The 19216-nt window shown below is 37.7% G+C and overlaps 1 protein-coding gene across 15 annotated transcripts in view, besides 1 other annotated feature; it reads left to right on the top strand.

Annotated features, from left to right (window-relative positions):
• GRID2 (glutamate ionotropic receptor delta type subunit 2) overlaps window positions 1-19216 on the top strand; it is a 1506491-nt gene that overhangs the window by 1444855 nt on the left and 42420 nt on the right. The window lies entirely within an intron of this gene.
• Window positions 354-433: an enhancer, noted in NCBI's record as "active region_21728". NCBI's record gives its function as "activates an Ori minimal core promoter by ATAC-STARR-seq in GM12878 lymphoblastoid cells {active_cell/tissue: GM12878}" and the evidence as "EXISTENCE:reporter gene assay evidence [ECO:0000049][PMID:35858748]".

Genomic DNA, 19216 nt, shown 5'->3' on the forward strand with positions numbered 1-19216 from the left:
TTTTTTTTTTATGTTAAGGAACAAGCCCAAAGAAAAACATAGATCATTGTGACAAATGCATTGTATCTTTATAATTCATTGTAGTTGGCAAGAACTCCTACCAAGTAATAAATGTTAAGCAAACCAGAGCCACCATTGCATAGGTAGGGGTATTCTTCCACTACAGTCACATCATTTGGCCTCAGCTCAAACTACTGACTTTGTCTTGATGATTTTCTTCATTGCATTAGTAAGTTAGCAAAAGTGGGTGGGGGTGGGGATCCCTGCTTTATTCCTCCTTCACTGTGTGTGAGCAAATGCATGCATGGGTGGCTGAGGTGCGGGAAAGAAGAAGAGAGAATATGCAGAGGTTAGGGGATTTTTAAAAACATGTAAGTTTTGTTTTATTTTGTTAGTTTAAATTTGCCCTTAGGTATTGTTCAAAATGTCCTCATTTCCTTTATGACACAAGGGCTTTTAGAGGAATGACTGAATTAAAAGACAGTTTATAAAAGTTGCAAGATATAGGGAAATGATTGTTTACAAAATAAGGCATTGATGAGGAAGGAGACAGAAGTGTTGCTGGGATGACTCTTCAAGGGGAAAGTGAAAGTTCAGTGACTGACAGGAAAACAATCATAGCTTCTGTGCTTCATAGAGCTGGCCTGCCACTCATTGCCCCTTTTTCACTCTTTGATTCAAACATATACAGGAGGGAGAAAGTGGCATTGAGCCTCCTCCAGCTGACAAAGGACCAGAGAGGCAAACCGAGGCTGTTAGTCTACCACCATGCTATTCATACCATGCCCTCTCCTGAAATGCTCATACACCCACTCTCTACATGTTATAAACATAAAGCCTTAGTCAAATAGCCACCTCCGCTATGACACTTTCTTTGACCACTTTTGCCAAAGTGGCGTCATCCCCCTCTACAGAGCTAAGTAATGATTCTTTAAGAAACCCTCACAATGCTTTTTGCTCTCCATCTCTTAGCCAAAAACAAAACAAAACAAAAAAGTCTTTGGTTGTTTAAGCTAACACAAATTACTTCACTCCCTTATGCCTGAGTTTCTAAATATAGAAAAATGGAGATAAAGTCAGTAACTACCTCACAGGGTGATTTCGAGAATTATATAACTGAATTGCTACAGAGTGAACAATGCAGGTGAAGAGATAGGTGCTCAATAAATGTGAGACATGTTAACTATCATGACTACTACTGCCATTGGTGAGCACACATTATATAGTTCCCTTTCTTGAGCTTTGCTTTTTATTCAGCAAATTGATCGAACGCATCCTCTGTGCAAACAACTGTAGTTGGTGCTACAGAACACACAAAATCTATAAGACACCATTACCTGGCCTAAGGAGCTTGTAATCCTTTCAAAGAGATAAAACACATTACTTTAGTGTTGGAACAAAGCACAAAATTATAAGAAAACTTCCAAGGAAAGTTCAAAAGATGGATCAATTAGTGGTTTCTCCAAACCTGCTTTAGTATCAGAATCCCCTTGGGAAAGTGCTGTTTAAAAATATAGATTCCCAGACACCAACCCAAAAATAGTAAATAAGAATCTCTGACTTGTAGCCAAGGAAATTCAAGTGATTCCAATGATCACCCAGTAGGAAATCCCTAGAATAGTCACGTACAATTGGAAATAAAAGGCTTTCTGTTAAAAGGTGGTCTTGGCCAGGCGCGGTGGCTCACGTCTGTAATCCCAGCACTTTGGGAGGCCAAGGTGAGTGGATCACAAGGTCAGGAGATCAAGACCATGTGAAACCCGGTCTCTACTAAAAATACAAAAAATTAGCAGGGCATGGTGGCAGGCCCCTGTAGTCTCAGCTACTCGGGAGGCTGAGGCAGGAGAATGGCGTGAACCCGGGAGGCAGAGCTTGCAGTGAGCTGGGATCGCGCCACTACACTCCAGACTGGGTGACAGCACAAGACTCCGTCTCAAAAAAAACAAAAAGGTGGTCTTGACCAGGCATCGAGACACATTTTATAAGAGTTAGGATAGAAGGAAGAAAGAGTGGTGTCACTTAAAAGAGATGAGTTAGTTCCTAGCCAGTGATCTTCTCAATAAGGATGAAATATTATCTTCTGCTAAGAATCAAACAGGTGAAAATACAGTTCAAGGTTTGGGAAATGTGGAGAAAGTTGGAAGAGTTGTAACATGTTTTACAGGGATAACTAGAGGTGAATTAAACTGAGGGTCCATTATGCTACAATATCTCTCACTGCAATTTCCAAGGCCAGTTTATACCTAGGCTAGGGTCATTCTTCTTAAATTCCCAGAAGCTTATATAAATGAAAATGCACTGACATTATCAATAAAAGTGAATTTTTAATATCACTGACAATAGGATCATTAACTATTGTGAATTCTTCATGTCTGTTAACAACCTTGTTTCTTTTGCCAAGTATAAAATTTCAAATTTGATCTCATGAAAAGTCTAGGAGTCAGATTCTCATAAATAACAACAGATCTATCCATTTGCTCTTTGTTGATCTGTAGCTGGCATCTGAATATATGAATTCCCCTAGGGTGAGAATGAGACTCTATAATTAAAGTTAATTGGTGTTGCTTTTCACCTGTTTTTCTTCTTGGTGAGTGAACTCTTTTATTCCTCTCATTTTTCCACATCAAATTCTCAGTATTGCAATGGGTCTCCCACAGTTCCAGGCAGTTTCTGGTTCTTGGGGGGAAATGCTCCTGTGGCATTATTGATTGCAGCCTTCATGAGAAGGACAATGATTTACTGTGTTGCTTCCTGTGCAGCTGTGAATTTGCTGTACAGTGACAGGGCCTTCCGTGGCATCCTCTGTCTCAACTTGACAGGAGATCTGGAGAGTGAGCTAGCTGTATTGAAATGAAAGTGTCCTCACCCCAAATCACATTCTGTCCCTCAAACTAAACCCAGGTCAGTGAGAGGTTAGCGAAAACACGGTTAAGAATGTGCTAAAGGGTGATACTGAAATTGAGGCTGTCCCCACTGTCTTCTCAAGGCCTGTAACCCGGCTTGCCCTCCTAAAAGCTTCATGCTGTCATTCCTTGCCGCCTCCTTATTTTCCTAGGCTTTCCACAACTGCCTGCTTTCTTACCCATACTCCCAATACTGCATGCTATGATTTTGGGGAGGACACATTCAGGCCATTGCACACCTGAACATTCTTTTTTTTTTTTTGGCTAGAGTATCAGAATGGGCACTTGACCTTAGGCAGCACTGTGTTTGGACTTATACATTGTTCATGTCAATGTTTGGTTCTAAAAGGAAAAACTGAAAACCTATTGCAAATGGACTCCACTGTATTACTGTGGCTGTACCACATTAGTCTTTATAATGATTATAACAATAGCTGCCTGGTATGGAGAACTTAATATATACCACATAATGTGGTGAACACTTTGCATATACAATACAATTTAAGATAAATATTCCATTCCAGGGATTAGGAAAACTGAAGCTCAGAGGGATCATGTTATCTTGCCAGTACATAGTCAGGAAGTAATGATAACAGAATTTCACCCACGTTTTCCTAACTAATACTCATACTGTTCTTTTATTTATTTATTTATTTATTTATTTTGAGACACAGTCTTGCTCTGTCATCCAGGCTGGAGTGCCCTGGTGCAATCTTGGCTCACTGCAAGCTCCGCCTCCCGGGTTCACACCCTTCTCCTGCCTCAGCCTCCTGAGTAGCTGGGACTACAGGCACCTGCCACCACGCCCGGCTAATATTTTGTACGTTTAGTAGAGACAGGGTTTCACTGTGTTAGCCAGGATGGTCGCGATCTCCTGACCTCATCATCTGCCCACCTCGGCCTCCCAAAGTGCTGGGATTACAGGCATGAGCCACCGCGCCTGGCCAATACTCATACTCTTAACTATTACATTCTCCTTTTCCAAAAATCTCAGTCCTTTAATTATTTTCCCTGCTTAAAATTTCCTAAACCTTATCCACACCTCATTATCATTCTTTGACTTCTCTTTGGTCATAAATTATTTATTATGTGTATCCTTCCATCTATCTGTGTACTTGCACATTGTTTTGCAGGTAAAATCCATATTGTCCATTTATTTTGTGCTCACTCAACACCTGGTATATCAGTGTTATGCTTTTGGAGTCTTTGGAACCGTTAGTTTTCTATATGGATCATACCCTGACTTATCATAAGTGGAAGTGATAAGAATGGCCTGGGGGTAGGACAAGAAGGGAGAGAAAATAAATAGTTATCACTGATTCTCAGAGGGATGCCGAGACTAAACTGACCCTACCATCAGATTGTTAGATATGATCTTCTTGAATGCTGTTTGCTACACCTCCTATCTACATGCCTACAGGCAGCCTTCACCCAGAGCTAAAAGAAAGTGGAATCCAAATGTTTAAAAAATATTTATTTAGAAGCTTAAGAACTCTACCCAAAGTTCTCAGGCTAGGATTAGTAACATTAGGTTGTAATGTCCACTCTTCTCTTTCTTCCATACTCTGAGATGTTCTCCCCAGTACCAGCTTATCTTGTTATGCATCTTAGAAAAATTCTTTTTATTATTATTATTATACTTTAAGTTCTAGGGCACATGTGCCCAACGTGCAGGTTTGTTACTTATTTATACATGTGCCATGTTGGTGTGCTGCACCCATTAACTCGTCATTTGTATTAGGTATATCTTCTAGTGCTATCCCTCCCTCCTCCCCCTACCCCATGACAGGCCCCAGTGTGTGATGTTCCCCACCCTGTGTCCAAGTGTTTTCATTGTTCAGTTCCCACCTATGAGTGAGAACATGCGGTGTTTGGTTTTCTGTCCTTGCGATAGTTTGCTCAGAATGACGGTTTCCAGCTTCATCCATGTCCCTACAAAGGACATGAACTTATCCTTTTTATGGCTGCATAGTATTCCATGGTGTACATGTGCCACATTTTCTTAATCCAGTCTATCATTGATGGACATTTGGGTTGGTTCCAAGTCTTTGCTATCGTGAATAGTGCCAATATATGAAAGTCCCTGGGGAATCTTGAGAGCCCTTTGGGCCAGCATCAAGACTCACTGAGCTGTAATTTAGTGCTTAATGCCATAAGGAATTTGGAATCAATTTTTATACAGTCATGGATCACTTAGTGATGGGGATACATTCTGAGAAATGCATTGTTAGGTGATTTCATTGTTTTATGAACATCGCAGAGTGTACTTACACAAATCTAGACGGTATAGCCTATGAAACCCAGGTTATATGGTATAGGTGTATTTCTTCTAGTCTACAAACCTGCACTGAAGACTGTGGGTAATAGTAGCACAATGGTAAGTATTTATGTATGTAAACATATTTAAACATAAAAAGATAAAGTAAAAAGATGGTGTTATAATCTTATGGGACCACTCTTATATATATGGTCTGTCAGTGACCAAAATGTCATTATGAGGTACATGACTGTAATTTTCTGTAATGTGTGTTGCAGCTCAGGCACTACTGGGAATATTGGGTCACAGTACAAGTCCTCTTTTTTCATCACAACTACAGAAAAATTACTTCAAAATGCATCAACTATTATCTCATAGAGTGTAGCCTCTCATAGAAAGACCATAAGAGTAATAATATCTACAAAGTGGATCTGTTCTCACGTTACTCTTCTTTCTATGACAGTATGTCCATTTGTTATATATGGAATGCCATTATTTGCAGTGATCTATATAGCTTGAGTTTTAAATCAGTATACTTTTATCAAACGGTATACCTTTTTGTTCTCATCTAGAAACAAATAGACAGAGTGTAGTATCCAGTATTGCTTACCACCATATACAAGGTAAAGATTCACCACAATTTACCAATACTCTGAGCAATTTAGTTGCTGACAAATATAACTGGCTATTCAAACATGGGTAAATTGCACTTCTACAATTATTCATTAGGGCTCCTATAATAAGTATTTCAGATGCCTACTTAGCTGGGTTGCTTTCATTTCTAATTCATAAAGGTTTAAAACAGATTTGAGAAGCTGATTATGCAAGGGTTGGGGTAAAGTGGAGAAATAGAGGGCTTTGCAACTGCCTGCATTTTGTACATACACATTTACAGTATTACCAGACCTATTTCTGAATAAAGAGACCAGCCTCTTGGTCCCTCTGACAATTGTTATCAGGACTGAATGGCATTCAGTTTTTATCAAGCCTCTTCTCTGAGTTATTGAAGCATCCCATAATATCATCAAGTAAGTAAACGTTGTGCATGTAGCTCTTGCCATTATCATGGAAAATAGCAAGTAGTTCTCATGAACTTGCACAGGAATGGTGCAAGTAACATCCCTTTCATAACAGCAACGTATCCACACCATTTCATTTGTCTAGCCACATAGACACATAGAAAGGTAGGCTATTCCTTTTATATCTATTGGTAAATTTTCTTTCGAATAACTGCTGAGAACTTCACTCCTATAAGCAGTTGGTGCTGCTGGTTGAAGAAAATAGATACATTATCTAAAGTAATAGATAAGTCTCATTAAGAAGATGGAATAGACTAATTCCCAGCATATCTCCCATGCGTGGGAAAACTAAATTGTGAAGTAGAGCAGTAACACATCAATTATCCTTTCTGCACGGAATTAGACGAGCCTCACTGCTACTTTGTATCACATTATGTAATTTTTTATAAATAACTATTTATGTCAGATCACCTCAGTTTGCTGCCTTATTAAAAAAAGATAGCTAACACTTCTAGCTTACTAATCAGATTTATTCCTGAAACTACTTAGGAATCCAGGTAGTCTATTTAAAATTTACATGTGTACTTAAGGAATCCTTATTCCTACTAAGGAAATAGTGTTAACATATGCCCAAAGAGGTGATGTTTTATATTAACCTAAAAATAAAATGCTATACATTTAATGATGTTACAATTTTAACGAAGATCGGCTTCTACCAACTAAAGTGAAGCTAGCTATCACCATTTAGAACAAAGTTTTTGAAGATCTTGTGTTAAATAATGACATAATCAGTTTAAGTAGTTGATCAGGTTTGCCACATCAAGTTATCATATGTGAAGTGCTAGAAAACAATTCAGTTTCTTCAGTAGTTTAAATCTCTCTTGCTTTTTGTCTACATAGTTAATCTTTATTAACTTATTATGTTCACAACACAGGAGTTAAGTTAATGAAAGCTTGTATATGAAGAATTTGCTTGCTAAAGTAAATAATAAAATTTGGTACTTACCTGTTTTAATTTATTGACTGTGTGGTAAAAAGTGAAACACCATAATGACAATAGAAATGCTTTGCAAATTATGAAGTGATATTTTTAAAAAGAAGGATATAACATTTATATGTATCCTAGTTTTTAAAAACATCTTACTTATTAACGAGGAGAAGAAGAAGCATACATTCTAAAGCTTCTGGGTCTAAGATTAGTTTCACTCCAGATATGATTCAGAGGGAGAAGGAGGAAAGTCAGAAGGAACATTCCAAAATTGGAAAAGTGCTAAAAGGGAAAGTGGCCCCTAAGTGACACCCATCACTCTGCAATCATGACATTGCTGCTGTGCTGCGTATTTCACAATCTATGTTTCTTAGTCTGCCCAGGCTTTCCAAACAAAATGCCACAGACTGGGTGGCTTAAACAATGGAAATTTATTTCTCACAGTTCTTGAGGCTAGAGGACCAAGATCAAGCAAGGTTTCAGCAAGGTAGATTTCATTCTGAAGCCTCTTCTCTTGGCTTGTAGGGAAGCTGCCATCTTGCTGTGTGCTCACAGGACGTCTTCTTCATGTAAAGAGAGAGCAAACATGATGGTGTCTCTTCTGATAAGAGCACTGGTCCCTTCAAATCAGGTCCCCATTCTCCTGACTTCATCTAACCCTAATTACCCCCCAAAGGCCCCATCTCAAAATATCATTACAATGGGGCTTAGCGCTTCATCATATAAACTTTGGAGGGGCATAAACATTCAGTCCATAATAACATGAGATTGAGTGCTTTTGTTTTTTACGTCCATGACAAATCAAGTTAACAAATATTTATTGAGTGAATACAGAAGGAAAGTCACAATGCTTGTGGTGTAATGAATAGGATGAAATACATATTTTAAGATTCCTGTCCTCAAGGAGTTGATAGCCTGATTGAGAATATAAGAAGTGCATCAGAAGAAAAACATGCATCAAATATAAATAATAATTCAGAGTGAAAACAGAGACGTCTCAAGGCAGTGTATGGTTCAATACTAAATGGGCAGTTCTCAGGAACATTTTTGCAGAGGAGATGGAATCTGAGTCCTGAGAGATGTTCTTCACAGAAGCATGAGAAAAGAATGCCCTCTTGTCATTCACTTATTCACTCATATTTACTAAAGGATATTATGTGTCAGAGGTTAGAAATACAAAATTAATAGTGCATAGTTTAGTATCTGCCCTCAAGGAGGCTAACATCCAAAAAAAAGAAAGAAAAACACCACTAAATTCAAGATCAAGTCTCAACTCCTTAAATAACTTACAGGCCTTGCTTCTCCAGCGTGGTTCTGGTTCTCCCCATATTCATGCTCAGTCTCAGGGAACTCCGTTCGTCTTTTCAGAATGCCTGTACTTTCTTCCTGCTGGACTTTTGCACAAACTGCTTCCTCTACCTAGAGTACTCTTTTCCCAATCTCCATGCCATCACCTGTTCTACTAATTCCTAATTTCTCATCTAAGACAACACTTACTCCAAAATGTTGTTCCTAAACTGACCATCCTTCTAAAACCAAGGTCTGGTGACCTTTGCACGGTGCCTTCTCTTGTGCTGCCCCATTCCGGGCATGTGACCACCCTGCAGTGGAACTATCCAGTACTGGAATTGGAGGTTAACATCCAAGGAACAGTTTTGGGATTTTTTCCTCCATTTATAAAACCTTAGCCAGTTGCAGTGGCTCACGCCTATAATCCCAGCACTTTGGGAGGCAGAGGCGGGTGAATCATCTGAGGTCAGGAGTTCAAGACAATCCTGGCCAATGTGGTGAAACCCCATCTCTACTAAAAAAGGCAAAAGTTATCTGGGCATAGTAGTGGGTGCCTGTAATCCCAGCTACTTGGAAGGCTGAGGCAGGAGAATTGCTTGAATCCGGGAGACAGAGGTTGCAGTGAGCCGAGATCGCACCATTGTACTCTAGCCTGGGAAACAGGGCGAGACTCCGTCTCAAAAAAAAGAAAAAGAAAGAAAAAGAAAAAGGAACCTCATAGCGTATTTGGATTCATGATGGAAAGAAGTTTGCAGGTAGAATTCACTTTTTAAAATGTCTAAAATGAAGAGAAACTGTTCTCCTGTGATTCTAGGCCACCTCAAGAGAAGGTTATGTTACTGTCTAAACACTCTACTAAAAAAAGAAAATTGAAGCACTTCATTTCAGAGCTGTAATAATGCTAAATACAATACATCTAAAAATTAAAATATAATTTAAAAAAATAGTTTAGACTTCCCATCTATGAAAATGTGGGTAAAACAGTAATGTTATTTTCCCACAGTTGTACTATTGTTGATGATCTAACTCACTCCTGGCTGAGAGTTTTTATTATGTGCACTGAATTTATCCACAAACTGTAATACAAATATGCTCTGAGTTTTTTAAAATATGTATCAGTGTACAACCTCTAACTTAGATGTTGTTTGCATCATAAAATAATTCTCCCGCTATTAAAGCCTACTAGAGTAGTTCTCAGAATAATGAATTCCTTCCTTATATTTAAATTATTATTCAACTTTTTAGAAGTTTAGAATTTGTGCAAATGCTAAGGAAAATGTTTGTCTCTTCAAAAAGTATCCTTCTTAATCTTCTCTTTCCTAAGAGTATGTCAAAGCTGCATATCACAATCTTTATCCATTTTACAAATAGCATACAACTCAGGATCTCACTTATTTTAAAGGTTAATTGTCAGACTCAAGGATATGAAAATATACATAAATGCATAACATATATACTATACACAAAGCAAAATAAGTTTGACTTTATGACACCTTTTCATAAACATGCATTTGAAAGTTTTGCATAAGAAAAATGAAGAGTGACTCTAAACAGAGATGATCGTTGCCAGTTTCTCACTGCAGAATGAAATATTTTTTCTCCTTTACCCTATAACCCAAATATCACACTGAGCTTAAGGATGAAGCTGACATTTTAAAAGATCACCAAAAGCGTTCTCTTTCCAATTGCAATTATGCCCTCTATCTCAGTGGGAGCCATTGTCTGGGTCTTCTCAGCTCTCTAGCATCTTTCTGGCTTGCTTTCATTACCCTGATTATCTATTCATTTGCCGCCCAGTACTCATTTTATGAAAGATCATGTCTGCCATTTCTGTAATGAGTGCTTGACTTTTACTGCCAGCATAAACACATAAAATATATAATAATTAAAGTTCACTAGTCACCAAAGTCTTGAGATCCGTCATGTTGCTAATTTGATTTTTTAAGCAATTGCTTCTCCGCGAACAGGGCTGATTTTGCCCCCTTAGGCAGTGCAAGACTTATGGTTGAAGGAGATGACTCTAACCTAGAGAGATCAATTTGAATGGGCACCATATATTTCAAATTTAAGGTTCATTTTCTACCAAATAACATGTCTATAAATTATGATGGGTCTTAGAGCCAACAAAAATTTCATCAAAATTTGAACATAAATGTTGTTCTAAATGTTAAAGATTAAACAATGTGCTTTTCAAAACAGTTAAATGTTATTTAATTGTGTAGCTTTTATGGAGAATTGTTTAAACTCTAAGAAAAAAGTTAATTGGAATAACTACAGGAGCCTACACAACACAGATTGGAAACTTCACAATGTGTTGACTTACATTAAGTAAGGACAAGGTTCCAGAACACCACTTCCTTATTTTGAACACACTTCCTTGTTCTGATAACATTGGCAAAGCACCCTAAGTGCCCCATGATAATGAATTCATCTGACCTTTAATCACAAAGCGATTAATGAACTCATGAGATACTCATGTGGCTCTCTGGGGACATAAAGATGTGTCATACAAAGTGTAATGTTTGTAAATGGATACAGTGGAACACGTGTTAGCCAAGGGACTTGAGTAGCAGACTCTCAGTTTATAAAGAAGCAGGAAATAAAGAGGTGCTTCCATTTATACAGATTTTCTTTAGAGATAATAAAGATCTTGATGGTGTATTCAAAAAAAGCACAGAAGCCAGAAGACCTGAGTTTGAAAGCAGAATGTATCACTTTCCAGCCATGTGGCCTTGGGAAACTTTTCTTCACCTCTGAGCCTCAATCTCCTCACCTGTAAAAGGAGAATTAGTAATATCAGACTTCCTAAAGGCTGTTACAAGAGTAAGAGGTACAGGGTCGAAGGGAGGAGGGGTTTGAAGTGATCAATCAGTCAATCAATATCATTCCTCCCTCACAAGGTTAAGAAGTAAATCAAATAATATGCACTGTTTTGAAAAGGCCTTTATAAACTGCAGCATCATGCATGTGTTTATTTTTGCTATTCTTTTGGAAAATAGGTACTCTGAATAAAGTTCACAGTTGTTTCTTTTTCCCCATACACAGAATGGATGCCTTAGGAAGACACTAGTAACTACATAAGGACATAGACATTGTTTTGTGAATAAACCAGATCTGACCGATTAAGTACTTTATCAAATTACCTTTTTCAAATTTGAAAGTAACATATCAGGTTTGAAGCAACACAGGAAACTTCTCTTTTTAAACAGGTCTCTGCTCTGCAGCAGCCTTCAGCAATAACTGAGTTTATAATTAAATCCAGCCTGTGTATTCAGCCCTGCAGTGGGGAGCTGGGCAGACCACTTCACCTCACCGGCAGGAGTTAAATGTGATCCCATCTCCCAGGTCCAGTACTAACACACTGTCATTCTCATTAAGCATGTGTAGTAATTCTTTACCAATTCTAAAAAACTACTAATTAATTTACAGTACTTCTGGTCACACATAATTAAAAACCATTTTCATATCTTTGATTAAAAGAGACACAACCTTTTCTGCCTCAGTTCATTGTCTTACCCGTTCTTAGTAAATCATAATCACTTCCCTGGAATTTCTTTTTTTAGGAGTGTAATATCTGCTCATATCGCCTTGACTTCAGGCTCAAGCTCCCATTGCCTAGAAAATGATTCAGGAAATACAACCCTCAGAAGACAAATACTACCTCATCTTGAATAAGTGAGGCAGTCATCTTTTGGAACATGGGCACTTCCAATCTCAGAATAAATGCTCAGATATATTTTACAATATAATCAGAAAACCAAAGAAATTCAAAATTCACTTGAAGGATTATGTGGCCATTGTTCATATACAGTGCATATGTGAAATTCTCTCTCAGCGTGGTGAAATGTGGACTCAACACATGATCACTCTGTACTCATTTAAAGATGCACATGTCATAACAGATATTACTACATGTTAATACATATTAATACACTATTGAAAGAGCACTGGAATAGGAGTCACCATCTCTGGTTCTAAAACGGACTCATACTTTCCAATGATTGGACTTGCTATATCACTTAAGCCACCTCAACTTCAATATCTTCATCAGTGAAATGAGAACTTATTGGCTTATAGAGTTATTTTCTCTGAGGTTTCCAAAATAAGTCAGAAACTATAGCCAGAAGGTCATTCTGGCAGCTTGCCTGTTTTTACAAATAAAGCCCACTTGTTTACTTACTTTCTACGGCTGCTTTCACACTACAAAGGCAGAGTTGAGTAGTTGTGATGGACACCATATGGGCCACAAAGTCTAAAATATTGGCTATCTGACCCTTAACAAGAAAAGCTTGCTGACCTCTAGTCTAAAAGATGATAGTTATGAATTTATTTGAAATACCATGAAGTACTATTAACCTATATGATAGAAACTCTTGGTGGATTGAAATTAAGCAACTGCCATTTGGCTCAACTAGCTAGAAGAAATAGTTAAAAGTTCAATTTAAACAAAGGAAATAGCTCCTAATAGTTTCCCTTACACTATTTGATATTACTGAGGTATTAGATGCTATCAATAAATATTTGTTGCACTTAATGTTACCAACTGATCACTAAGAGATTTTGCTTAAGAAAAATAATCGATTGATGATTGATTCACAGGAAGTTGATAGAATTGATTTTTACAACTCTGATATGCAAATTGTAATATTAGATATGCCAATCAAAGTGCCACTATGCTTAATTGTTTAAATCTTAATCTTTGAGAAGTGCTTCTGCTTCGATGCAAGATTACCTACGTTTTCCAAAGCTAGGATGAAAAAATTGATGAATGAATGAAAAACCTATTGAGCTAAAGTTTTTTCTGAAAATCATCTGCATGCTATTATTAATACTTTCTCAGTAACCATGGAGAGGAAAATTTTGTGAAAACCCAGAAAATGAATTTAATAATGTGGATATTATGAGCCAAAATAGATTTATTCAGTGTGTGAAAAAAATAACTTTTTTTCAGAAATTTCAAAATTTCTTTCTCAGTGATAACTGACATTAAACAGTATTGAGTAATGGGACTCTCTCCTAAATATCTTTTTAATTTTGGTTACATAAAACTCATAAGTAGGTACTGATAAAATATTTTTGAAATATTAAAATGGTTATTTTATCCTCACGAATTTCTACCCCCAAATTGCCTCAATACTTCCAAATTGAAGAAGTACCAAAAGGTCTTGTATCATAGAGTTTCTGGCGTTACATAGCTATAATTATCTTTCACTATGACAGGACAAGAAGCTTGAAGACCTAGGGTGTAAGAAGGATATTCAGGAGAGGAAAGGAAGCCTTACTTCTTCTGACCAGAGGATTCTAACAGAGGTCAGGAGAAGAGAAAGGCAAGAAGACATTAGATAGATTGAAAGGCACAACAAGGGTAGAAGACCTAATGCTTCTCTTCCCTTTAGGGTCTCTGGGGGAGTTCCCAGGGCACACCAGGCTCTTTAACAACAGAGAAGACCTCAGATCATTAAGAATGCAGAGCAGCAGGGTCAGGAAAAAGCACAGGTTCAATAATCATTCCCAGGCCTCCCTTTCTTTCCTGTGCCTCGCATGCGGGGTTAGAGCATATGGACCTGCCTTGGGCCCCTCCACAGTGAATAACAAGGTGAGGTCATCATACCATCTGGAGGGCTACAGAATCATCAGGGGCTGGATAAAGAAAATGGCAGAGGCTCAGAAGGATGTAGAGCACCCCAACAAACCAAAGGAGGCTGAGTCAGCAGGGAGGAGCCCATAAGCCCTACATTAGCCAACTTTTAGCACCTATAGCCTTTGCAGACTTTAGCAGCAGTCACCTATTAATCTCTAAAACTGAACCCAAGCCCATCCCACCTCAAAGGAGAGCTGCCAAAGCGAATTCAAGGACCTGCAAGAGACCAGCCACCACCTTTCCCCTAAATCCCTAATTTCAGGGATATAATGCTGTCCTCCATAAATCCTGATACCATTTTGAAAAAGAGTAAGGGAAAAGAGAAGAAATGGGAAGAATTGAGTAATTCTCTCAAGTAGATTGAGCTAAAGCTAGAGACATGTTAAATTATTAGATGAGATTAAATTTTAAATCATATTGGGCTAAATTTAGTTTTTTCCCCACTGCTCAGTAGGCACAGTCCTCCTAAGATCAATTAAGTTATAGAGAAAAGCTACATTTTCTCTGCATACCCAAATTGTAGCATGAATACATTTGCTATCACACTATAATTATATTGTTTGGTTTAGAGGAAACATATTGATGAGACGTTTACTCAGGGTTTAAGAAATCTCTGAAACTAAAGAAGATAGCTTTTCTCTGCATACTTACATATTAGAAGCTGTGTGAGATAATGGAGAGAAATGTGCTGGAAGGCAGACCTGAGTTCTAAGCCCAATTCAACTATTTATTATCTGTGTGAGCAACTTAAAAAGTCATTTAAACTCTACAGCAGTGAGATTGTGTGTTCCATGTGAAAAATCTAGGGAATCATTATGCCGGATTACTTAGCGTCTTCATCCATAAAATGGGGGAGGAGAAACAGACGGGGAAGCAATAATGTCTGCAACCTTTCCCATTCTAATTTCCTAGTAGAAATGACTAAAAAGGCAGGTGTCATTTTTCTTAGGTAACCAGTAACCAGTAACTTTTTTAGTTTGGTTCAGTAGGAATTCACCTATGGGCCATGATTCCAGAAAAGTTTGAGAGGAACTTATTGACAGCGATGGTATTTAAGGACAAAATCAGAGTGACCTATGTGGGATTAGAAATTTGCGTCCAACTTTCAGCAACCTGTTTTGTAACAAATAAATTAATTTGAAAATCATTTCCTAGAGTAGTGACTAAAAATGGTAAGGGATCAAAAATTAGTGTGAGTCTCAAACACAAATGAGGCTAAAAAGGCTCTTCAAGATGAATGCCTAAACCTGTTGGATTTCTTTAATTTTAATATGAAAGAAGGATCTTTTGATTCCTCTACTCCCTTCCCCTGAAATTTCCTCATTTATACCAATAAAGAAATCAGTGCAATTTTCAAATTGCAATTAAGTTTTATGGACTTCTAAAATTTTTCTGTTCAATGGGATCACAAATGTTTTAATATTTTGGATGAAAAAAAGGAAATGAGATGTCCGTGTCAGTGAATCAATCATTCATTGATCATATGGGCATGTAATTCTCCATTAAGAAGTATGTACCGGAACAGGTCCAAAGAAAGAACAATAGTGATACATGTGACAATAATAAGTCTAGCTTTAGAGTTGCAATAGCCTTCCGCGTGCCAGGTAATGAGCTTTTCATGCATCTTGCTCACTGAGATCGTCACGTGTGGTCTTATTAATTCACACCACAATGACCCTCAAAAGTAAGTGTTGTTATGCATCACCATGGTGTAAAAATAGCAGGAATTTTTCTGACTATACTCCAAAAAGAGATTTTAGCCGTTAGTTCATCACAGTCTAATAGCTAAACTTATTTCTAATAGTTTAAGTATTTACAGCCCCACAAAGTCTATACTTCAGCACTTCAATCCCATAGATTAACAATAACCACAGTAACTCTTTGCTCTCTATGAGCAAATACTGCCATCTTGTGGAAATTGCACGCCAAACAGAACATTATTGTTCCATAAACTCAAAAGTTTTTCTTGTGTTTATTAAGAATTTTGCAACTCAATTTTTGCATTGTCATACATACGCGCACACACACACACTCGCACACATACATACACATTATTGTTGCTTATAATTACAAGGTACAATTCTTTAGATTTTCAAGTTCAATTTAAAAGGGCCAGTGCTTTGGGAAGATTGAAGGGAACATATCTCTTTGCTTATTATAAGAATTCATCCTATTCATCTTCCAGGCAGTGCATTATATTTTACCACACTTGCTTTACATAATCTTTAAATTGGGTTTTTGTTAAATCATAAAAAGGAGGCCATAGTGAGACCATTCTGATGGAATTTCCAGGAACACTAGATTTTGTAGCAAAATGTTATGACAGAACTCTGGACTTAGAGAACACTTTCATTCCCTTCCAACACTTGTAGCCCATGCCAGCCTGTATTCCTGGAATCTGTTGTCAGGGGTGACTGAGGGGTCAGATGGTCCAATTTCTCTGTACATCCCCAAAGATGAAATCTCCCTGCAATGCCCCAGCCACTTGTGCTGCCGTGAGCATAAAATAAACAATACAAAGAGATTTTTGTGGCATATTCGTACTTGAAGCACCTAGAGAGGGTGCTTCCTTCTTTCCCCTCGATGATCTCCTATCGCTCAGCTGGCTGAACCTAAAAATTCTGCAATTAAATGATTTTTTTTGGGTTTAAGGCTTTTAATTCCTATTAGAATTTAAATAGGTGAGGTATTATATATATATATATATATATATATGAGGCATATATATATATTTCAATAATGATTTCTAAAGTCAAAATATTTTCCAAGTTTAGAAAGAATAAGGAGACAAAATTAAATAAAATGAAATGCAAGGGCCCCAAATACCACTGAGAAGAAAGTGTAGGCAGTAATTAAGTTCCTGAATGAAGGAAGGAATAAATGAACATGAATTGAGGGCATTAAAAAAATGGCTTCACAGTGTCACTCAAGCCTCTCCGGTGGAATGTGCAGTCGTGGTTTAGAATAAATTTTGTACCCAAGGAAATGTCTGGAATGAAGTCATTCTTCAACTGTTTATTAAATGGATAGATGAATAAAACAGGAATGGAATAAATTAGAAAACAGCATCAATCGTAAGAAAAAAGAATAGGATCTGATATCAGAGTTTAGGATTCATTTACCAAAACTGTGTTGAGTATATTCCATCAATAAATATGCACCTGCTCTGTAGGAGGCAATATGGAGGATGAGTACACACTCTCGAAAATGGAACAGACTGATCAAGTAATTATAAATGATGATAAGTGCTATGAAGGAAAATTCTTACACTTTCACAGTGTATTAGTTCGTTCTCTCACTGCTATGAAGAAATACCCAAGACTGGGTAGTTTATAAAGAAAGAAGTTTAATTGACTCACAGTTCCCCATGGCTGGGGAGGCCTCAGGAAACTTACAATCATGGTGGAAGGCACCTCTTCACAAGGCAGCGGGAGAGAGAATGAGTGCTGAGCAAAGGGGAAGCCCCTTATAAAACCATCAGATCTCGTGAGACTCACTATCACAAGAACGGCATGAGGGAAACCACCCCCATGATTCAATTATCTCCACCTGTCCTGCACTTGACACGTGGAGATTATTACAAGGTGAGATTTGTGTGGGGACACGGAGCCAAACCGTATCACAAGGCTACTGACCAATATGGTGTGATGCAAATAGGAGAGCAGGATAACAGGATCTCATTTTGTGCCCAGATGTATTCTCATTAAGCAAATGTTGCTGTAGTTGCCTTTTATATCTACAAGTACTTATAAACTCAAATTTAAAAAGAATTATTTGTTCAAAGATGACTACATTTTTCCTCCAAGGTAATCAATGGTGCTCTGACTACCTAGAGCCTTTAGGTGGGCAAATACATAAGGGATGTGCCATTATTTTTTATTATTATGGTAAGAATTCTTAACATGGGTGCTATTCTATGAAAATTTTTAATGTACAATACAGTATTGCTAACTATAGTTACAATGTTGTACAGTAGTTTTCAAGAACTTTTCCCTCTTGCATAACTGAAGCTTTACACCTATCGACGAGCAATACCAACATCATTTAAATGATATTCATGAATAGGCCAGGAAAGTAATTTTGATACCATGATTACATCTTTGTGTGTTGCCTAACACAGTGCTGGAAATTTCTACAAGTAGTTGCTTCTTTGGATCAAGAGATTATTTCCCATGTGTATTTCTTAAACCTGTTACTTGGAAAGCAAAATGAGAGAAGGGGAATGAAGGTCATAAGTTTGGGAAATGCTGAGTTAAACAAAATCATGCCGTTTTCTTTTCTGCTGGTCTTCTGAGAGTCTTTAATAGGCTGACATCTTTGTAAATTCCCAAGAGTGTGTTTCTCAGAATTAATAACCACAAGGCCCTTTTCTTACAGAGGTCTTGTAGGTACTGGTTTGCTGTGAAATGCACTTTTGGAAATTCTGGAAATGCAAATGGCTTTTTCTGGAATGGAAGCTGGAATAAGGGTGACATATAACCCATTAATATTCATAATCATTTTAGTAAATTCAATTAATCAAATTAATTACTCTTCTAGAGCAACACTCTAGACAGATACATTTCACAGGAAGCAAGGAGAAAAGGTCCAGGTTGTGGGGGAGGTTTCAGAACAGTCTCAGTCCTGGACTGCCAGCACGGGGCACCAGAGCTGAGGCTGTGGGAACGTCTGGGAGAGATGACAGGGACCTGAGACCAACCCTCTACCAGAGCCTTAAGGGCTGGTCTCACTCTAGTTTAACTCAGATTAAACACTGACCCAACTTCCAATGCACAAAATCTTCTTCCCTTTATCATGTTGCTTGTTCTTCTAGCCATGTGGATGACATGAAACAGGTAAAAAGGTCACTACAACTCCATTCTCTGAACTCTTAAATTGTAAGCAGTCTCACCCCAAATAATCCAAGACCTTGGGCAAGAGTACAAATATAGGTTCACATACCCCAAGTCTAATTATGTAAAAATTATGCATTAAACTAAAACCTGTTTGATATAATATATTCTATGTTCTTATCTGGACAAATATACCTTCATGACCCCTGGGAGGCCAGGTTTAAGTTTCTATGTGACTAGCCAGGAGGTCTGAACTGACCCAGGAGCACAGGGCTCTGGGGCCCTT

This window comes from Homo sapiens, chromosome 4, assembly GCF_000001405.40.
Source record: "Homo sapiens chromosome 4, GRCh38.p14 Primary Assembly".
Taxonomy (NCBI): Eukaryota; Metazoa; Chordata; class Mammalia; order Primates; family Hominidae; genus Homo; species Homo sapiens.